Genomic DNA, 21,423 nt, shown 5'->3' on the forward strand with positions numbered 1-21,423 from the left:
AAACAGTTCTGGGCAAGTAAGCTCTAACTCCTATTTCCGCAGGCACATGGAAACTTCTGGCTATCAGGTTTCAATTCAGCTGAGTTATTACTCAGCTCTGCAAAATCAAAAAATATTTCTAGGAGTTCAATTTGCACCTACCTTGTTTGGGATTGTCTTTCTCCTCCTGAAGCACTAAAACTTCTCTTTAAAATGTCTGAGACGAGAAAATAGAAATAACTTTACATTATTTCCTCTGCAAATCTTTTATTTTTTATGTTTTAATAAAACAATACTGAACAACAAATACTGGTGAAGATGCAGAGAAAAGGGAACTCATACACTGTTGGTGGGACTGTAAATTAGTGTAGCCATTATGGAAAACAGTATAAAGGTTCTCGGCCGGGTGTGGTGGCTCACACCTGTAATCCCAGCACTTTGTGAGGCCGAGGTAGATGAATCATGAGGTCAAGAGAGCGAGACCTTCCTGGCCAACATGAAACCCCGTCCCTACTAAAAAGTACAAAAATTAGCTGGGTGTGGTGGAGCATGCCTGTAGTCCCAGCTACTCGGGAGGCTAAGGCAGGAGAATCGCTTGAACCCAGGAGGCGGAGGTTGCAGTGAGCTAAGATCGTGCCACTGCACTCCAGCCTGGTGACAGAGCGAGACCCCGTCTCAAAAAAAAAAAAAAAAAAAAAAAAAACTTAAAATACATAAATAAATAAAGTTTCTCTTCAAAAAACTAAAAATAGAACTTCTATATGATCCAGCAATCCCACTACTGGTATATATCCAAAAGAAGGGAAGTTAGTATATCAAAAAGATATCTCTACTCTCGTGTTTATTGCAGCACTACTCACAACCACCAGGATATGAAATCAGACTAAGTATCCCTCAGCAGATGAATGGATAAAGAAAATGTTTAAATATTTAAAAATAGCTAGAAGGGGAGATTTGAAATGTTTCCAACACAAATAAATGATAAATGTTTGAGGTGATCAATATCTGAATTACCCATACAATGTATAATTTAATGACTACACATTCTATGCATATATCAAAATATCACAAGTATCCATAAATAGGTACAAATATATTATATATCAGAAAAAATTTTAAATAAGTTTTTTATAAAATTCAAAATAATAAAGAATATATATATTCCATGAATGGCTTTGTCTATAAACACTCTCATATTGTTCTAAAGTCAAACTTATCTCTGTAAATGGTAGGTAGGAAATATTCTAGGCTTTGCAAGCCATACTATGTCTGTCACAGCTGAATTCTGCTGCCATTGTAGCATGAAAGCAGTCAAACAACATTCAAGAAACAAACATGGCTTTATTCATGGTAAACCACAATAACAACAACAAAAAACAATACTGAATTTCGGTTACCTGAGCAATTGTACATACTGTAAAAATTGTCTTTGATTATGAAAGCATGAACTAAAATATGTTACAAATTGTTATTTATTTGTCAGGTTTGTTTAAGGGCTTTTTCTCTAAAGCAAATGTGCTAAACAAACAAAAACAACCCTGTTATTAATATCTAACAAAACACAATAAAATGTCATGCAATAAAATGTCATAACCATCCTTGCCAAGTTACCATATGCAAATTTAAGGGTCAAGCATCTCTTTCCTACCTCCCCACTAACCCTCCCACCATTGCTGCCAGGTATATAGAACACTGAACTTATCTCAAAACAGTCAGTAATAAACTTCTTCTGGAATTTGTTATACATGTTTATATGCATAAATATTTTTTCCCATATGAGCTTCATGTTTTCCCAATCACAAATTAATACACCTAGAAGGCAGGGATCTACGGAGAAAATAGGACAGAATATTGAAAACTGGGGTTGTCCCAGAAAATATGGAACATCTAATCATCATTTCGATGGACCAATTAAGTTTGGAAAGGACAAAGAATGTAGCTAAATCCTTAGGGTTCTACTTTGATCCTTAGAGAAGCTATTTTAAATGTTCTTTTATGAGATTTTCATAGTATAGTCACTGAGGAGAGAGAATTATTTTCACTTAATTTATTTCAGAATATTTCTATCTATGGTTTTTAATATTTTATCAACTTACTCTTTTTTAAAAAAATTGTTTCCCTTCATTTTCTATTTTAACTTCTCTTTAAGTTTCAGGTTTGTTCCATGTATTTTATTCTATCTCTCTTTATAATCTTTAAACTTTATCTAAATATACCTTTTCCTTTTCTTTCCCATATCCCAGTATGACTATTTTCTTTACTGTTTTAAATTAAGAGTCAAGATTAACATTATGGACGGAATTTATATGTCATATTTTTAATAACTCTAAAAAAATTTCTTTTATTTTATTGTTTTAAATGTAACACATCCCTTTAGATTTATATAAATAAAATTGCACAAAAATTAGTCTATACCAGGACCAATTTCTTCTACAGGCTTTGAATTCATCTAACCAACAGGCTCATAAAAGGTCATGTCCATTACTCCTGTGGTTATTTGGCTGTCTCCAAGTTAGATATCTTGACTCTCTAGTTAGAACCTGCAATTGCTGGTAGAAATAGTAAAACTATTCATTTGACAGCTGAGAAAATATAAAACCACTGTGCTGGCTAACCTTTGGGCTCTGTCAGAGAGACAGACACATCTGTCCTAATTAGCACTGCACCTGAAAAACAAACCACTGGGTTATGTATATGGTGATATTTGCTTGACTCAAGTATGATTTCCAAACCACTGTCTTCCGGAATCCCACAAACAGCAAATTGATAACAGAAAGCTTACTGAATGTAGATTCTTTCAGAGGGCTTGAACTGGAGCTGCTGGAGTTATCCGAAATGTCCAATTCATCATCTACCTCTGAATATGTATCTGCACATTAATAAAAACAATAAAAAAGCAAATGAGTCTTGAAACAGGAAGGAGTCCAGAATACATTCATGTTGACACACTGCCACTAGCAGTACCTACGTTGACACACTGCCACTAGCAGTACCTTTCTCAGCATTTTCCAGGTTGAAGTTATCATCTGACAGGATTTCGTCACAGGCCCTGTCTTCGTCTTTACCATAGGAGGCCTGGAAGCCTTCAGGGGGCAGGTCTGCGCTTTCTGAAAGTTCACTTTTCAGGCTGGCTGCTCCACTGCTGCTGCTACTCAAACTTGCCTTCTCAAAGGTCTCCTGGAAAGAGAAATTCAGTTTTTCATAGCCTCTTTCTCTATCCTTCCTTCTATAGGACCTAAATCTTGTTAGAACATATATTAACTGCTTCAAATATCAATATAAATGTTTGATGCAGAAGACGCATCAGTAGTTCCACCTATACACCTGTTACAGAATCTATTCAGTCCATAAATACAAAAAGATGCAGGTCTATAAGCTACATTGGATCAAAAAGGATGGAAGTGGCAAGAGTGTTCAGTAGAAAAGGCCCATATAACCCAGTAGCGGGGGGAAATATGTACTTCTAGAAATAGACTATATTAATTTAGGAGAAATTTCTCTCCCTTAAGTTTTTTCAAAAACATTTGCTATCAAATCCTCTCAGTACCACAGCAAATAAGTAAGGCTTATTCTCTTCAAAACTCCAGGAAAATTAGTAGCAGACAAAGCCAGGCCATGGAGAGTGAGAGGCAAGGTTTTCCAAAAAAAGGAGCTACAGAGAACAGAACTTACAAACCACTTGGGACTCTACACTACTGCCTGGCTTGAACACTCTCTGCAGAACTAGCCACAGGGTCCTCCTGAATCCTCCAAAACGGATGGATGCATTTCCATTATGATAGCACTACAAAGTCATCAATCTGGTTGTGTAATTCCATATTTCCCTAAATAATAGTATTAGAAACTGCAAAAATTATGTCTCAAGGGTCAATAAAAATTAATTAATTAATGCCACTGATGCTGGAAGTTTTCATTTTTCTAAGAGAAAGACCGTGCGGAAGGAATGACTATGAATCAGTAAAAAAGTACCACTTGTTTCTTTACCCAAGCAACTCCTAAGATGTTCATTGTATGGGACTATTCGCAGCAAGCGTGAAGAGCCTTTTTAGGCCGTGGGGCTAAACAGTGCTGGCAAAGTAAAGCTACAGATCAGGTAGACAAAAAGACAAAGAAAGGCTGTGATGGAGGAAAGGATAACAGGCAGAGAGTGTGAGAAGAAAGAAAAAGGTGCATTTATTGAAGGGGAAAGAATTCCCTCTATGAATTGTGTCCAAGATGATTTAGTCACAAATTACCTAGCACTTCTTGACTAAAAAGGCTCCAATGATGCTCATTTCAGAGACAGCCTTATTTATTTCAGATTTATGTGTTTTTTATTTTTTTCCTACAGTAAAATGACACAGCTCCAAGGCACAGGTTTCTAAAAACTCCATAATAATAGAATTTGCAGATGAAGAAAACCTAAGATCTTAGGGATAACTAGAATCAGAAATAAACCTCTAAAAGCTTTCATATATTTATGTTCTATAGGTAAGATGAAAAGATTTTTAAAATACAAAAAACATTTGTGCATTGCAAACTGTCTGATCAATTGCTGTTTATTTCTTTTCCCTGAGATTCTTTTCAGTGATTCTTCAAAGTTTCACCAAGCTCCTTGTTTTGTTGAAGTTAATTTGCAGGTGAAGAAGTATTTTAACTTTGATTTTCCATAATTAGTACATCCAATGTTCAAAGGCTGTTTTATGACTCTGAGTTGTTAATTTCTGCTTCTGAGGTCCACCCTGGTTGGCTAACTTACAACCTGAGACAGGAAATGCTTTGGCCGCTCTCTGGCAAAAGATATATGCTACTCAGAAATTTTTCCAATGCCTAAGGCTAGTATCGGGCTTCTAAGTCCAGCCTCAGCTCTGCCACACTCAACCCCTGATACCAAATCCAGGAGCTCTTTCTAAGGCTCAAAACTTTATTGCAAAACCAACTCAACTTCTTCCATGCCTACCTCTTTTCTTCGTCCCAAACCACAAAACCCTTCTTCCTCTAACTATCCTCAACTGAAGTCATTAGAAATTTACACAGAAGTAAAAACCCAATTCAAGGCCTTTTCCTTCTTATGACCTTTTTTATTCTAAGTAAATCATCTTCTACCCTATCCTGAAGACCACAGCTGGCATCTGCAACCTTTTCAGGACTTTACACCCAAGATGTGTCAACATTACCAAGGTTGAAAAAAGATGAAGGAGAATTTTTGAATTGAGAAAACTTTTTATTCTGTCGATGCAATTAAGATGCTGGAATTCAAATATCCCTAAAACTAGTAAAACTTTAACAAAGGCTTTGTGTCTCTTAAGAACAGGCATGGATAAAACATCAGAGGAAAACATTTTTCTTTGAACAAATGAAGAGTCAGGAGAAGCTGGAGTCCCCGCTGAAAAAGGCAATTCGAGACTTAAGGACGCTGGACTTGCAATCAAAACCCAAGAACCAATTGGGTCATAAATCAATAGTCACTTGTAACTGCCAAAATTTCATCCACGGGTAATTGACTGTTTGCATAAATTCTGATAAAGGGGAATTTACAATCTGAGAGAGATGCTTTTTCAGACTCTGTATGCATAAAAATATGATAATATAGATGGATAGTTTGGGTTTAAAATTTGTATTTCTAGGCCAGGCATGGTGGCTCACTCCTGCAATTCCAGCACTTTGGGAGGCTGAGGCAGGTGGATCACGAGGTCAGGAGATCAAGATCATCCTGGCTAACACAGTGAAACCCTGTCTCTACTAAAAAATACAAAAAAATTAGCCGGGCATGGTGGTGGGCGCCTGTAGTCCCAGCTACTCGGGAGGCTGAAGGAGGAGAATGGCATGATCCCAGGAGGCGGAGCTTGCAGTGAGCCGAGATTGTGCCACTGCACTCCAGCCTGGGTGACAGAGCAAGACTCTTGTCTCAAAAAAAAAAATATATATATATTTCTATAACAATCCCTTGCAGCAGTTTTTGCTTCAAAAAAAAATTGATATAATTTTTGACCTTGCCATAAACCATATGCCACACATTTTCCCTACTGTGATTTCTGGAGTTTTTCACTGTGAGTATTTGAGTATCCAACTCTTTATAAAATTGTTCCTTGAAGAACTGGGGGCACTTTAGTCCATTTTAAATCCTTTAGTGCTTTGCACAATGCCTTACACATAGCAAAGGCTCAATAAATAGTTGAGCCATTAAGTTGTCCTCAGAAGACACATCCAGCAAGTACATTAACCTATTAAAGGGATTTAGGCAAGAAAAAAGGCAAAGTTTTTGGAGACAGAATTTGGCTGCTATAATCTTTTTCACTTTCTAATTACTAAGATTTTTCAAGGAGTAGGAGAGGGAGTTAACTAGTTTTTTTGGCATCTGCATGCATCTATCCTAGGAATGGATAGACACATTCCGGATATCAATACGGCGGCAAGGAGAATACAACGCAAATCACACAATAAAATTATCACTGATATGGAAATCAGCACCATTATAGAAGATGCTTCCTGTCACCACGCTAGTATTGGCACAATTATGTTTAGCTCGGTTTTGCGCATTATAATGTAATATTTTTATGTGTGCAGCAGATCATAATACATTTTCAGTTGAATAGCAATTCTAACAGTAACAGACTGACATTACCCAAATTAACTGCTACAGTAGGAAAATTAAGGGCATCTATTTTATTAAAATCAGTGCAATTTTTAAAATTGCCAGAAAGTTTTAGGAGAGAAAGAAAATCAAGAAATAAATATAAAGCATAACAACAGCTATATCCTATAGATGCTTTACTTTAGAACTCTAAAAAATGCACTATTTCTTTGTGTTCTGAAATATTCATATTCTATTAGGTATATTTTTACCCAGTTTCTTCCATCTGTTTTGTTAATAAACTGTACCCTTAAATATCTCAATTTAGTGCTACCAGGTGCTAGAAATTCATCCAGCTGAGGTGATCTTTTATCAGTGGCACCGCATTCTATGCTTTTCATGGATGATTGCACAAAGAAAATTCAAACTAGGAGACAGGCCATTGACTGCATACTATTGTAAATAAACTTAGTCCCTACATTTTAAGGTATATTTTTAAAAATCAGCCAGTGTGGTCAGATGATTAAGGAACCTTGTGGACTAGACCATAGCTGAGTGAACTGCTCACTGTAGTGGTGAGATAGGAACCTTTTCTCCAGGCCTCCCTATGGAAGACTTGGCTTTGCCACATCAGAGAGGTGGGCTGATGGAATAAGCCTGGAGCCTGGTCCCACCCCCTACCCAGTGGTAGATGGAAATCTTTAATCTTTGATCCTGAAAGTTAGTTTTTGTTTGTTTTTTAGAAATAGGTTCTCACTATGTTGCCCAGGCTGTTCTTGAACCTCCGGGTTTAAGGGATCATCCTGCCTCGGTCTTCTGAGTAGCTGGAAATACAGAGGCACACCACTGTGTCCAGCTTTCCCAAAATGGTTTGGATGGTAACATCGTCTATTTTCATCAGGGAATCTTGAAGAATTTCCCTTCTCCCATTCTCTACATACAGTTAAGAGAGCAATAGTTAAATCTAAACCAGAAAAACTGGTGTTTTGGGGCCCTAAAAATAACTAATTTATATGGATTATATAATAAAGAAAATATTCTCTTTAGGTTGGATCTTATTTATTTTGAACTTATTAAATATTTACACAAAGCTAAAAATTTTACTGTCATGACATAGTTATTATCTCATTATTATACTATCTTAATTAGAACGTCTTAAAAGCACTATTACATATTAATGAGCTGTGATTAAATTAAATAAATTAGGGAATAAATTGGTCATTACAATTCAATCTAAAACTCCAGTATCAAATTTATTATGGTTAAAAATGTTTCACTGTTATCCCATAACTAACCTAGTACTGTATCAGAAATGAGTGGATTTTCTATCACTTTTAACTCAAATACAGGTTTTCTAGAAGGAATAATACTAACAAAGAGGAGAAGGAAAACAATGTCATAATCTGAAATTATCATTTGTTAAGAATACAGAAGATCTGGTCCATCACAACAATACTGACCACCATGTTTTTCCAAGACAGCAGACTAACATGCCAATAGAACTAAATGTATATACCAATATATTTAAAAGCATTTCAAATGAGGCCAGGATCAGGTAATTCTATTTAACATTTAAAAGAAACAATGGGGGCTGGGCGTGGTGGTTCACACCTGTAATCCTAGCACTTCAGGAGGCTGAGGCAGACAGATCACCTGAGGTCAGGAGTTTGAGACCAGTCTGGCCAACAAGGTGAAACCTGGTCTCTACTAAAAATACAAAAATTAGCCAGACATGGTGGCAGGCACCTGTAATCCCAGGTACTCGCAAGGCTGAAGCACGAGAATTGCTTAAACCTGGGAGGCGGAGGTTGCAGTGAGCTGAGATCATACTACTGCACTCCAGCCTGGGCAACAGAGCAAGACTCTGTCTCAAGAAAAAAAAGAAAAAAAGAAAGAAACAATGGGCCAGGCATGGTGGCTCATGCCTTTAATCCCAGCACTTTGGGAGGCCAAAAGTGGACCGATCATTTGAGGTCAGGAGTTTGAGACCAGCCTGGCCAAATAGTGAAACCCCATCTCTACTAAAAATATAAAAATTAGACAGGCATGGTGGTGCGTGCCTATAATCTCAGCTATTGAGGAGGCGAAGGCAGGAGAATCACTTGAACATGGGAGGTGGAGGTTGCAGTGAGCCAAGATCACACCACTGCACTCCATCCTGGGTGACAGAGTGAGACTGTATCTCAAAAAAGAAAGACAAGGGAAGGGAAGGGGAGGGGAGGGGAGGGGAAGGGAGGGGAAGGGAAGGGAAGGGAAGGAACAATGTACAGAGAACAATCAAGTGGGCAAGTTTTAAGAAATTTTTTGTTTCTCAAAAAAACAATGTCATTGAAATTTACCAATGCTTAAGGAATTAAAGAGTATGGAATTAGAAATGAGTGGTTATCAACAGGAATGAAACACCAAATTAGAACCTCATTGACTGTTTCATTTTTAACACAGAGTTACATAAGGAAAGGTCTAGTTCTTGTTAAACTGCACATTTTGCACATGTTGTCAAAATTCCAAACTGATTAATTGCCAGTAGAGAAAGAATTAAAAGTCAAGAAAAAGAGTCACCATTGTCTTTTGCTTGGCCCACTGCAATCTCTTCTTAACCAATTTCCCTGATTTCATTCTTGGCTCTCAGTGGTTTATTCCTACTCAGCGGCCACCTATATCATTTTAAAGCCTAGTGGTGCCACCTTGGCTTGCTCAGAACTCATATTACTCAAGTGCATGCCAGGGACTATGGCACCTGCATGTCCAACTGTCTCTCCCTGCTTCACCGCACGCTGGACACACAGGCCTCCTTGCTGTTCCCCGAGCTTGGCAGGCTCACTCCTACCTCAGGATCTTTGGTCATGCTACTCCTTCTGCTACCAATGTTGTGCCTTCAGATATTTGCAGAGGTTATCCCTTTAATGTACAGTTGACCCTTGAACAACATGGGAGTGAGGGGCACCAATACTCCATGCAGTCAAAAATCTATGTATAACTTTTAACTTTCTAAAAACTTATCTACTAATAGCCTACTGCTTACTAGAAGCTTACCAATAACATAAACAATTAATACATACTTGATATGTCATATGGTAAATATAGTTTATCTTCCTTGTGATTTTCTTAATAACATTTTCTTTCCTCTAGCTTGTTATTAAGAAAATCACAAAGAAGAGAAACTATATTTACTATTCATTAAGTGGAAGTGGATCATCATAAAGGTCTTCATCTTTGTCATCTTCACATTGGGTAGGCTGAAGACGAGGAAGAGGAAGAGGAGGGGTTGGTTTTGCTGCCTCAGGAGTGGCAAAGGCAGAAGAAAATTCATGTATAAGTGGATTCATGCAGTTCAAACCCACATTGTTTAAAGGTCAACTGTATTCAGGTCTCTGCCCAAATGTCATGTAATTATAAAGCCCTTCACTGACATCCCTATTTAAAATAGCCTGTCTCCCTGTGTCTACAATCACTTTCTATTACCTTGCCTTCTTTTATTTTTGTTCATAGCACTTAAATATAGTTTTATTTATCTATTATTTGTCTTCTCTCACTATGAAGGAGGGAGTCTGTGGCTGTTTGGTTCACTACTGTATCAGGAGAATACTAGAATAGGTCCCAGGAAAGAATAAATGCTTACTAAATTTTGTTGAATAAGTAAAATAAAAGACTGATTTTTTAAAATGTTGCCAAGATTCTCCATGTTAAAACAAGGGGTAAAAATAAAAATTGTAGGTATGATTTTTTGAAGAAATTAGACAAACTTATTCTAAAATTAATAAGGAAATACAACAGACCTAGAACACCCAAATCAAATTTGACAAAGAACAACAAAGTTGGAGGACTTACAGGGCTTGTTTTGAGACTTATTAAAAAGCTACAATATCAAAAGATACAGAGTTTCGGTGAGATGGGAGGATAAGTTCAAGAGATCTATTGCACAGCATGATGATTATACTTAATAACAATATACTGTATTCTTGAAAAATACTGAGATTGGATTTTAAGTGTTCTCACCACAAAAATTATACTGTGTGGTAATGCATATGTTATGTGGTAAAGCATATGTGTGGTAATGCATATGTTAATTAACTCCGTTAAGCCATTCCACAATGTATATATATTCAAAACATCATGTTGTATACAATATATATAATTTTTTGCCAATTAAAATTAAAACATTTTTTAAAAGCTACAAAAATCAAAACGGTGTGGTATTGGTCTAAGAAGAGACATATAATCCATGGAACAGAATAGAGTTCAGAAATAGACCTGCAAGAAAGGGGAACCCTTGCAGACTGTTGGTGGGAATGTAAATTAGTACAGCCACTATAATGAATAGTATGGAGTTTCCTTTAAAAACTAAAAATGGAAATACCATATGATCCAGCAATCCCATTGCTAGGTATTTATACACAAGAAAAGAAATAAGTATGTTGAAGAGATATCTGCATGCTCATTTTTATTATAGCACTATTCACAATGGCCAAGATTTGGAATCAACCTAAGTACCCATCAAAAGATGAATTGATAAAGAAATGGGAAAATTTTCAGTCATAAAAAAGAATGAACTCTTGTCATTTTCAACAACATGGGTGGAACTGAAAGACATTATGTTAAGTGAAATAAGCCAGGCACAGAAAGAGAAATACAAAATGTTCCTACTTATACGTGGGAGCTAAAAAGTATCGAATTCATGGAGATAAAGAGTGGAATAATGGTTACCAGAGGCTGGGAAGAGGAGAGGAGAGGGGGGATAAAAAAGGAACGGTTGGGTACAAAAATACAGTAAGATAAAAGGAATAAGATTTAGTGTTTGGTAGCAAAATAGGGTGGCTATAGCTAACAATAATTTATTGTATATTTAAAATAACTAAATGAATGCAATTGGAATGTTTCTAACACAAACAAATGATAAATGTTGGAGGTGGCTGATACCCCAATTACCCTGATTTGATCATTAAACATTTTATTCTTGTATCAAAATTTCACATGTACACCATAAATATGTACAATTATTATGTACTCAAAATAATTAAAACTTTAAAATTTAAAATTTAAAAATATTTATAAACAAAAAAGAAAAAAGTAAGTAGATCTACATATATATTGTCAGGCAATTTTCAATAAAGATGCTTAGCAAAATCCATGGGAAAAGACTAGACATTTAAAGAAGTGATGCTGGAAAAACTGGATACCCAAATGACCAAAAAAAAAAACCAAAAAGTCAATCTCCTCATTATTCTATACACAAAATTAAATCAAAAGGGATCATAGGTCTAAAACATTTACAAAAATATAAAGAATCTTATTTTTGCAACCTTAGGGTAGGCAACAATTTCATTACAAAGAGGCAAAAAACACTGACCACCACAAACAATTACATGAATAAGTCTTCATCAAAATTAAAATTTTCTGTTTATCCAAAAAATGTCATTAATTTAAAAAAACAGGCAAGCCATAGACTATACAAAATGTTTGCAATACATATGTTTGACAATAGGCTCATTATCTGGCATATATAAAGAACTCCTACAAATCAACAAAAACAGACAAGTAATCCAATAAAATCACAGGCGAAAGATTTGAACAGATATTTAACACATACACATACACAAAGATATATAAATAGCTAAAATCAAACATAAATGTGCTCAACCTCATTGATCATCAGGAAAATGCAAACTAAAACCAGAAAGAAGTATCATTACACCTCAAAGGCTAAAATCGGAAAGACTGACAATACCAAATAGTGGCAAGGATGTGGAACGTCTAGAACTCTCATATACTGCTTCTGAAAGTGTTAAACAGTACAATTTTGAAGAACTATTTGGTGCTTTCTTTAACAGTTAAACATACAACTACCTATAACCCTGAAACTCTATTTCTAGGTCTTTATCTAAGAGAAAAAAGTTATAAACATTTTTGTATGGGTCTTTTTGTAAATAGGTTTTCAACAGTGTTAAGAAATTCCAAATCTGGAGAAAACGTAAGTGTTCATCAACAGGACAGATAAACAAATTACGGTGTAGTCATATAATTTAACACTGCCTAGCAATATGAACAAATTACTAATACACACCACGTGGGTGAATCTCATAGATATTTTGTCATGGAAAAAAAGCCAGCCACTAAAGAGAACATGTGTTTGATTTAAATGAAGTCAAACAACAGGCAAAGTAATTTATAGTGACAGAAATCACCAGTCTACGTCCTGGGGCAGAGAATTGTATAGAAAGAGGCTTAAGGGAACATTCTGAGGTGAGATAAATGTTCTAACTCTTGTTTGGGGTGGAGGTTACACATGTGCCAAAAGCCACTGAACTAGGCACCTAAAGATGTGTACATTTTACTACATGTAAATTATATGTCAATAAAAAAGAGAGAATTGTAGTGTGGATGTGAGAATTGTGTCTGTATTTGTGAGGAAGCCTATAAGGCATTGCTTTATTTTCATATAACATAATGAGCATAGAACATTTCCAAAACAAGTCATGGTTTTTCCTGATATTTCTCTTCCTACATCATTACTTGTAGCATTTTCACAGCCTTGGGAGAAATTCAGTCAACAATTAACCAGACAATAAAAGCAAAGATGTTCACAAAAATATTGTCCTTTAAAAATACATCATTTTCTACATGGCTTAATTTAATCTCCTAGCAGAGGATTGCAGACACATGACTTTAGTGGTGTGCTCAGCAATTGTAAATGACATATGGTATAATAAAAATAAAGCAACCCAGATAAATAAATAGCACATTTTTTAATTTGCATTAAAAAAATGAGAATCTAGATGCTTACATATCTGTTCAATTCTTATATGCTCAACTTTAAAGACATCTGAGAATTTATGAAAAATATCAGTATCTGTCAATGTCTGCTAAAAATCATAGATTAGAAAACTACAATAAGAATTTTATAACAAAGAAGTGAAGTTATGAACAGTTTGTGAATTTAAAAAATAATATTTGCTAATAATTGCTCTACCAGCCTGCTCCTCCAAAGTAGATGGAATTTAAGATGACACTTATGTATGCCATATTTTGACTCTGGCAATATCAAATTATCATAGGAATCTTTTTTTAGATTCACCAAAAGCTTAGAGAAAATTTTTAGGACTCACTACATGAGCATTTACTTATTGTCATAAGCATGAAACAATTTACCAAGATCAGATATTTTTTTTGGAAAATAGTTTGGGTAGGAATGTGGAAGATGGCTAAGGGAGGGAGATGATCCCTGATAATCTGGATGGAACTGATTTAATCAGGTGGCAGGTCTCCAAAGTGGAGCTGAGGCATCTCTGAGATGAGGAAGAGATTCAGCCTGTGGAAAACAGCTTCAGCCCATGACCAAGATTTCCAGCCTGTTCCTCCTGCCAACCATCCCTATGGATTTTGCACTTGCCTCGTCAGTCCCCACAATCATGTAAGCCAGTTCCTTGCAATAAATATCTGAATATGTATCTACTGCTCGTTCTGTTTCTCACATTTTGTGCAGGACTGTCAATGTATATGACATATCAGCATCCCTGGCTGCTAACAGTGATAAACAACAATTATACCACCCCACCCCCAGTACACACATTCCTTAATGGCCCCTAGTGGACAGTGCAGAGGTGATATACTGACTGAATCACTTGGTAGAAGTAAGGAAAAAACTAGAGACAAGAAAGTTGGATCTTGCAATGATATAATGCAAGATACTGAGAATGAGAACTGAAAGGATAAGATGGATTTGCCAGACATTTCAAAGACAGAATTAGTAGAGCTTGCTAACAAAATGAATACAGGATTTCAGAGAGAGTGAATTGAAGATGTCAAGGTTACAATTAAGGTGATATGAGGAGACAGAACATGGCTGATCAAGGGAGGAGAATCCATTCACTGTGGACTTGCCGAGCATAAGTACCTGTTAGACATGCAGGTGAATGTTCGGTTCAAAATATAGGTCTGGCACACAGAGAGACTGAGATCAGACAGGCAGCTTTGGTGATCTCCAGCAAATGGGTGTGGAAATTATGTTGCGAAACACATCCCAACATATTTTGCCTTCGCAGAAAATTTTGTGCACTTCTCCAGAGCTCTTTTCTTCTACTGTTAAGACCAGTTTATGAGGCTGAGATTTATAGACCCAGGAGAAGACAGGGGAAAAGAATACCTGGAGAAAAAGAAGGATATAATAGATGCAAGGGTAGCTTCTGGCAGAAAGGTGCGAACTGGAAATTTCTTCTGGAGCTCAAAATAAGAGCCTGCCAGAAGGAAGAGAAAATGAAAGAGCAAGTGCAAGCCTCCTTGTTTTTCCTTCTCACATCCACTCCAGCAGATGCGAACCTTGGGATTAGAGTTGGGCTGTTGATGGAGATACACGGAGAGTTTGAGGGGGAAACTGGGGCACAGACAGAAAAGACCGGGAGCTTTGAAGAAGCTTCATGATCATCATAACACTATATACATAAGGCCCATGAGAGCAGAGGCCTTGTCTATTTTGCTAACTGTGGTATACTTTGTACACATAGTGCCTGACACCTATTAGGCACTCAGTAAATACTTGTTGAATGAATAATTGAATTGTAGGCACCTGGGACAGAAGAATAGAAAAGGATGAAGAAGGCACTGGAGCTGATGGGGCTGAGATAGGGTCCCCTAGTGCCAGTGAGTTCCCCATGGGCTGTGTGTGGTGTGGATGGGAATCCAAAGCCCCCATGTGTCTTGTGCCAATGTAGAAGACAGCTCTGGGGCTGGCAGGTGAGTTCACTTGGCCATCACTGCACTGAGGACCACAGAGTAGGCTGCTTAAACTAAGAATGCCAAGAAAGTCACAATCAAGACTCAGAGGATCAAAAATAGTAACCCCAAGGGGAGAGTTGGGGCATCATGGGTAATTCTTTGGGTTTAAGCCATGATGATAAAAGAGGCCATGAGTTACAGATGCCATAAACATTTAATAAGGACAGAGGTCAGCATCCAAAAATCACAGGGTTCATGTCATCTAAGTTCAGCAGGGGCCAATAGAAGAAGTCCAGAGCCCCTGCCCCTCTCTCATCGACATGGGGATGCTTAAGCTTTCTCCTGTACTCTGTTGCCATCTTCGGAAGAGGACACGGAGAAGAGAACCCTTGGGATGGCAAAGAAACTTTTAGACCAAAAGAGAACGACATAATTGATCCTGACTACTACTACCATTTTCTGCTACCAGCACAAACAGGGGTTCAAAACAAAATGATATATAATTATAGAAAATAAAGTTTCCATCTTGCACACCAATTTTTACCCAAATTCATATGAAATGAAATACCATGGGACTAGATGGAAACCAAGGGAAGCGTAAGAGAGGCAGAACCTTTAAAGTTAAAAGGCCAGGGATGGAAGAGAAAATGAGGAAGAGTATTCAAAGAGAGAAGACAGAAACCAGGACAGAGGAGTGTAATGGAAAACACTGGGGGGTAAAAAACATTAAAAAGCGGGTATGTACAATAAGAAATAATTAGCCCATAGTGAGGCAGAGCTTGCAGTGAGCTGAGATTGTGCCACTGCACTCCAGCCTGGGCGACAGAGTGAGACTCCATCTCAAAAAAAAAAAAAAAGAAAGAATTAGTTCATAGTCTGTCAATTTGCTTGTTAGGTATTTTGGAGAAATTCAACGTTTTAGTCCACGTTACCCACAGGATTTAATTCAAACAGCTTAATGAGGTATTCACAAACATCCATCATCTAGCTCCAGCCTACTTCCCCAGGCTTTTCAAACTACACATATAAAAATATGCATTGTCAATCAGCAGACCCAATTTTTGGTCCTGGGGCTGTCCCTAACTAGCTGGATGAACTTGGACAAGTCTTTTAACTTCTCCTGATTTCCCTTTCCTTGTGCAATTAAAACATAAAACAATTCCATTTCTAAGTTTGATTCTTAGTATTAAGTGAGCTGAGCTGGAGTTTCTGCACTTAACGTTATTCTTTTCCATCCAGGAGTGACTTCCTTATTTAGTTATCAAGACCCTATCTTTGTTTGGCTCTGAGATCCTCCCTAGGCCTCATTAATTCATTTCCCTCATCTCATTTATTTACCCAAAATGTTCGGAATCATTAGAAAGTTCCTCCTGCATATGCACATCTATCTTGTCTTTCCAAGTAGATTATCAGTTACTTCATGAATGGGGTCATTGTTTATAATTTTTTATAAGCTTCACTATACCAAGCATAATGCCTTACATTCAGAAGACATCCAACAAATCCCTGTTCCTTCATTATTAATTATATACCACAGGCATTTTCAATCTTTCTCTCTTTCTGTTATAGATGTGAAAGCAGTTCTCCAAACTGAACAAACTTATTAAACTAGTAAAAAGAAATCATCATTCAGCCTTTAAATAGGGGTGGTGAAGATAAACTTCCTGTCAAATATCACTGGAAAAGTAGTTGTGATTCCTGCAAGTCTCACACTGACAGCATGCTTCTCTCATTAATTCTCTTCAGTCTCCCTGGAACACTCAATTCTGCTCCATTTGTACACATAGAAATATGCTTTTTTCACCCATTTAAATGTTAGCCTAAAGCTGTCTCTATAAAATCCCAATAATTCTAATGGAATTGAAGTTTTCCATTGATTCTCCAGGTTTTGTCAGGCTGAATTTCTTTAATACACACTATTGTATTTGTTGGAAAAGATATAAGCAGTAGACTCTTCAGAAATGTCTTTAATTGATTTTTCTGCCAGGGATATAAGATCGAAAGGGTAATGATTCTCTGTGTTCACTACACTGTGAACAGTGCCAAAACATGGATAACGATTTTCACTATTATGATGCCACAATACCCTCTACATGACAATATTCTAATTATTACACATTTAAGTTAAAATTTTATTTCCTTTTACTCTACATGATTCTTATCATTCTCAACTCTATACTCTCCTTATGATCTCTTATTTTAAGTTATAAGAATCAGAAAACATTCTTCAAAAGGAAAGGTTTGGTTCACTTTCATAGTGGGTAAACCACAGTACATAGAGTGAACTTTTTAGTGAAGACTTCTCTGTTCTTCTAAAATATATATTAGTACTTACGTTTACTAGGCCACTATAAAAATTGCCATAATTAAGAATAGACTAAAATATGAAAGTAAATAGAATACTTCCCCATGAAATAGAAACCTTTAATGTTTCTTATCAATTGTTTGCTTACCCACTAATTTGCAAAATTTCAGTAATTCACAGTGGATCCCCTTATTGATATTGGGAATTCATAAAGTTCTACTGAACCCACTAATTTCTCTTTCCCTTGACTATAATTTATCACTGGATTGTGTAACTGCATTATTGATAATAACTGCTCTGGGAGAACTTTCCAGTATATCTGAAATGAGATAATCATAATACTGCTTAAGAAAAAAAGAGTCATAAAATTTTACACCTATAATTTTTCTTCAGCAATGGTGTAGATGTAAGTTTTTAAAAATAATAATTGGTCCCCACTGAGAAAAATGCCAATTAACTGCATACTGTCTTTTGATGAAATGCAATCTTCCTTCTTGCTTCTTTAATAAAGCTGCATTTTTTCCTTTTAGTTAACATTTGGTTAACCTTGAAATGAAAATGTATCAGTAGACTTAAAATAGTGCGAAAGGAGAAAGTACTGTATGACTATTTAAAGCAGGAATATAAACTTTGCTTTGAAGTAAAGCATTTCTCTATGGTCCATAAAAACCTGAATGCTCAATGAGGGCACTGAGGCTGGCTAGCAGCAGGTGCTAATATATATGCATTAACTGTATGCCTGACATAAGGATTTAATGTAGAGACTACTTGGACAAGTCAGCACTAGATTAACAAGTTCCATCAACAAACTATTCTTCTAACAAAAGCTATGCTCATTTATATGACTGATGCTATCTTACAATTTATGCCACTTTTAAAGTCATACAATATATTCAAACACATTAACTCATTTATCCTAGTACTCTCTGAGGTAGATAATATCCTCTACCCCTTAATTTACGGATGAGTATACAACCTCTGGAACATTAAAATCCCTCCCTTGGTTTCAGAGCTTTCCCTTTATTTTACCTGGCGATAGCCTGAAATCTATATTTCTAAAGCTAAAATGACTCTCCAAACACATATGGAAATACTGATAGAGGAAATTATATGGTATCTGGGATTTACTTCAAAATAATCTGGGGAAGGAAGGAAGTAGGTGGGAATAGAGATGATACAGGATTAGCCCTTAATAGCTAACTGTTGAAGCTGGGATGGGTACAGGAAGTAATCTTTGCATTTATAAACGTTTGAAGTTTTCCATAATAAAGAATTTTTTAAGCTGAGAAGTGTAAATAAATAGATAAGTAATGGTCCTTCTCAAGGTGTTTTGCTAAAGATAACAGACTTTCTGCTGTTAGATTGTAAACTAATGCCACTCAGCCCCAAATCAGCCACATGAATCTAATATGAAATGACTCTTTCACATACAACTGGAAATAAGCTAAGTAACTCTGCAGTGCAGAACTTAATAATAGAAGGCCCCAAATACCTAAGATATATAGAAATAGCTAAATCTCTTGCATTTTAGTCTACTAGGAATACTCTATTTAGAATGCAACATGACATACATAGAATGATGCATTGTTGCCTAGTTATTATGAAGTCAGGTAGTAAAATAAAAAGCAAAGTGAGCTCTAACTCCCCTTCTGAGATTTAACTGTGTTCAGTAAGGGCTATAACTCCAAGTTATATGCTCCTTTACATAAACATATAACTTAAATAATCATCATGGAATGTTCTGCAAAATTACATCTAGGCTCAGCATTTAAGGCAATGAAGATGAAAGAGTTTCCTTCCCAAATGAAAACTAGATTCAGTCTTCAACTTCTGGATTCCAAATACCTTAAGACAAACCCACTAAACAGTAGTACTTTCCTTCTTTTCAGAAAGCAGTTCACTGGAAACACTGTTATTCAAGAAATCAGAACTGCCTCTTTGAGACCAACTTCATACATAATTTTACCAGCTGAGATGGAGCAGGTCCTTAGGATCCTGGGAAGGAATTTAATGACCAGGTACCCTAAGAAAGAGTTTTATGATCCAATTGCCTTGGGCCCACCCCCAGAACAGGAAAAAAAAAAAAAGGATGAAAGTCCCCTTACCAGGTCGCCACTGGGTGGAGGCCCAAAGCATGAGCAAACAACAGAACACTGATTGTGATTGCAACAAAGACACAGAAGAAAGAAAATAAGAGACAGCAACAAGAGCATCACTGGCACCATTGCTTGCACATGTGGATATTTGTAGCTTTGGCATCTCTTTTCCAAGCAATGTTCAGAAATATACTTAAATATCAAAACAATCTAAAGGTTCTTGGCAAGAAAAATAAGACATATTCTGATTTGAAGCATGGCAACATTATTAATACCACAAATGGCAATGAAAGAGATTGCAAAGTACAATACGAAAAATTTTAAAGGCAAATGTTATTTCCTTCTCTGAATTAACTCACATATTCATACATATTCCCAAAAGTTGCAGTCAGATTGCTGAAGAAATTAAATATAAGCATTCACTGCTAATTTTACAGTCTGTAACTTAAACTTCGCTAAGAGAACTTTGTGATACCTCGATTTTTGCAAAAATAAAATAAATTATGGATTCATTCTTAGGAAGGTCAGTTATATTTATTTTAATTTGTATATAAGATACAGAAATGGATATAAATATGTAACTATACTACTGCAATATTGCATGTAACTATTTTTCTAACTTTTGATGAATGTTCCTTAAAACAAGCATGAACAACTTCAGACAGCCCATTAGAGTGCATCATGAACCGATTGAAATATTTGCACTTACGTGAGATAGAACAGCCAGCTCATGGTGACATGTGACGGTGTTCCGGTTGGCTTCCATAAAATACCTTTGTGTGCGTCTTCGTTCCCGTTCTAGCTTCTTTTCCAAGGACAACTGGGATGTAGATAAGTTGTCTAAATATTTCATCATGACATCTGATATCATCGAACTGACTTCTACAATATCTGGACGAGCTTCCGCATCAGGAGTGAGGCACCTAAGATAACATGAGATAATTATAACACTCTGGTCAATGTTGGGAGCAGGCCACAGAGTGTAAAGGGTCAAGGTTAAACTCCACTGTGTGTCCACTATGGTATTTTCACCTAAGATAACCTGGGATAAGATGGATATCAAGCACAGCTTTGAGTCCAAGACTTCTCAAAAGGCATTTGGAAAGCTAAGGAAGGAAAAGGAGTCAGCGTTATTCTCTTTGCACTTGGGCTGGAAGGTAAGGGTTCCAGGCTGAGCATGAAGATGCTCTTCGGGTCTCAGGATGGGCAGATGGGACCATCTTCTCCTGCATGGGTTGGCTGCTTTCTGAAATCACTGCCAACTCACTGGCAGGTGGAAAAAAAAAAAAAAAAAGCCCAGTGTCTAAACCTTTCATTAGTGTGGATATTCTAAATTCTTAGACTGCAGATGTTTAAGCTGCTTCAAGGTAATATTAGCAGCTGAACTATCAGCTGAACTTTTTTAAAAATAAAAAAAAAGCAACGTAAACTAGTTTTATAAATTATATAGCTACATATTATGGTACATGGGAATGGAAATGACCTTCGTTCTCCTAGCATATAGTCATCTCCTTGCCCAAGGTTACTCTCCTGGTCCTGTATTTGCCATCACTGGAAAAGGCACCACAAAGAAGATGCAGTTTAGCATCATAACTCAGCATGCAGGCTCTGGATCATTTTGCTGGGGTTTAAAACCTCATTTACCATTTATTAGTCAGATCCTGGGCAAGTTACATAGCTTCTAAGACTCAGATAGCCCACCTGTAAAATGGGATAATTATAGTACCTACCTCATTAAACTGGTATGGTGTTTGAACGAGGTAATCTCTGTGAAGTGCACA

General features: G+C 36.5%; 1 protein-coding gene across 26 annotated transcripts in view; it reads right to left on the reverse strand.

Annotated features, from left to right (window-relative positions):
* NEK10 (NIMA related kinase 10) overlaps positions 1 to 21,423 on the reverse strand; it is a 262,900-nt gene that overhangs the window by 65,194 nt on the left and 176,283 nt on the right. For all 26 annotated transcript variants that reach the window (XR_001740034.2, NM_001394969.1, XM_047447506.1 and 23 more), the window contains 4 exons: positions 20,352 to 20,565; positions 2,973 to 3,156; positions 2,762 to 2,848; positions 142 to 196 (listed from right to left, as the gene is read on the reverse strand). Coding sequence is in view for 25 of the 26 variants with exons in the window: in NM_001394969.1 (NP_001381898.1) it covers positions 142 to 196; positions 2,762 to 2,848; positions 2,973 to 3,156; positions 20,352 to 20,565 (540 nt within the window). In the remaining variant the exon portion in view is untranslated. The remainder of the gene's footprint in view (positions 1 to 141; positions 197 to 2,761; positions 2,849 to 2,972; positions 3,157 to 20,351; positions 20,566 to 21,423) is intronic.

This window comes from Homo sapiens, chromosome 3, assembly GCF_000001405.40.
Source record: "Homo sapiens chromosome 3, GRCh38.p14 Primary Assembly".
Classification (NCBI taxonomy): Eukaryota; Metazoa; Chordata; class Mammalia; order Primates; family Hominidae; genus Homo; species Homo sapiens.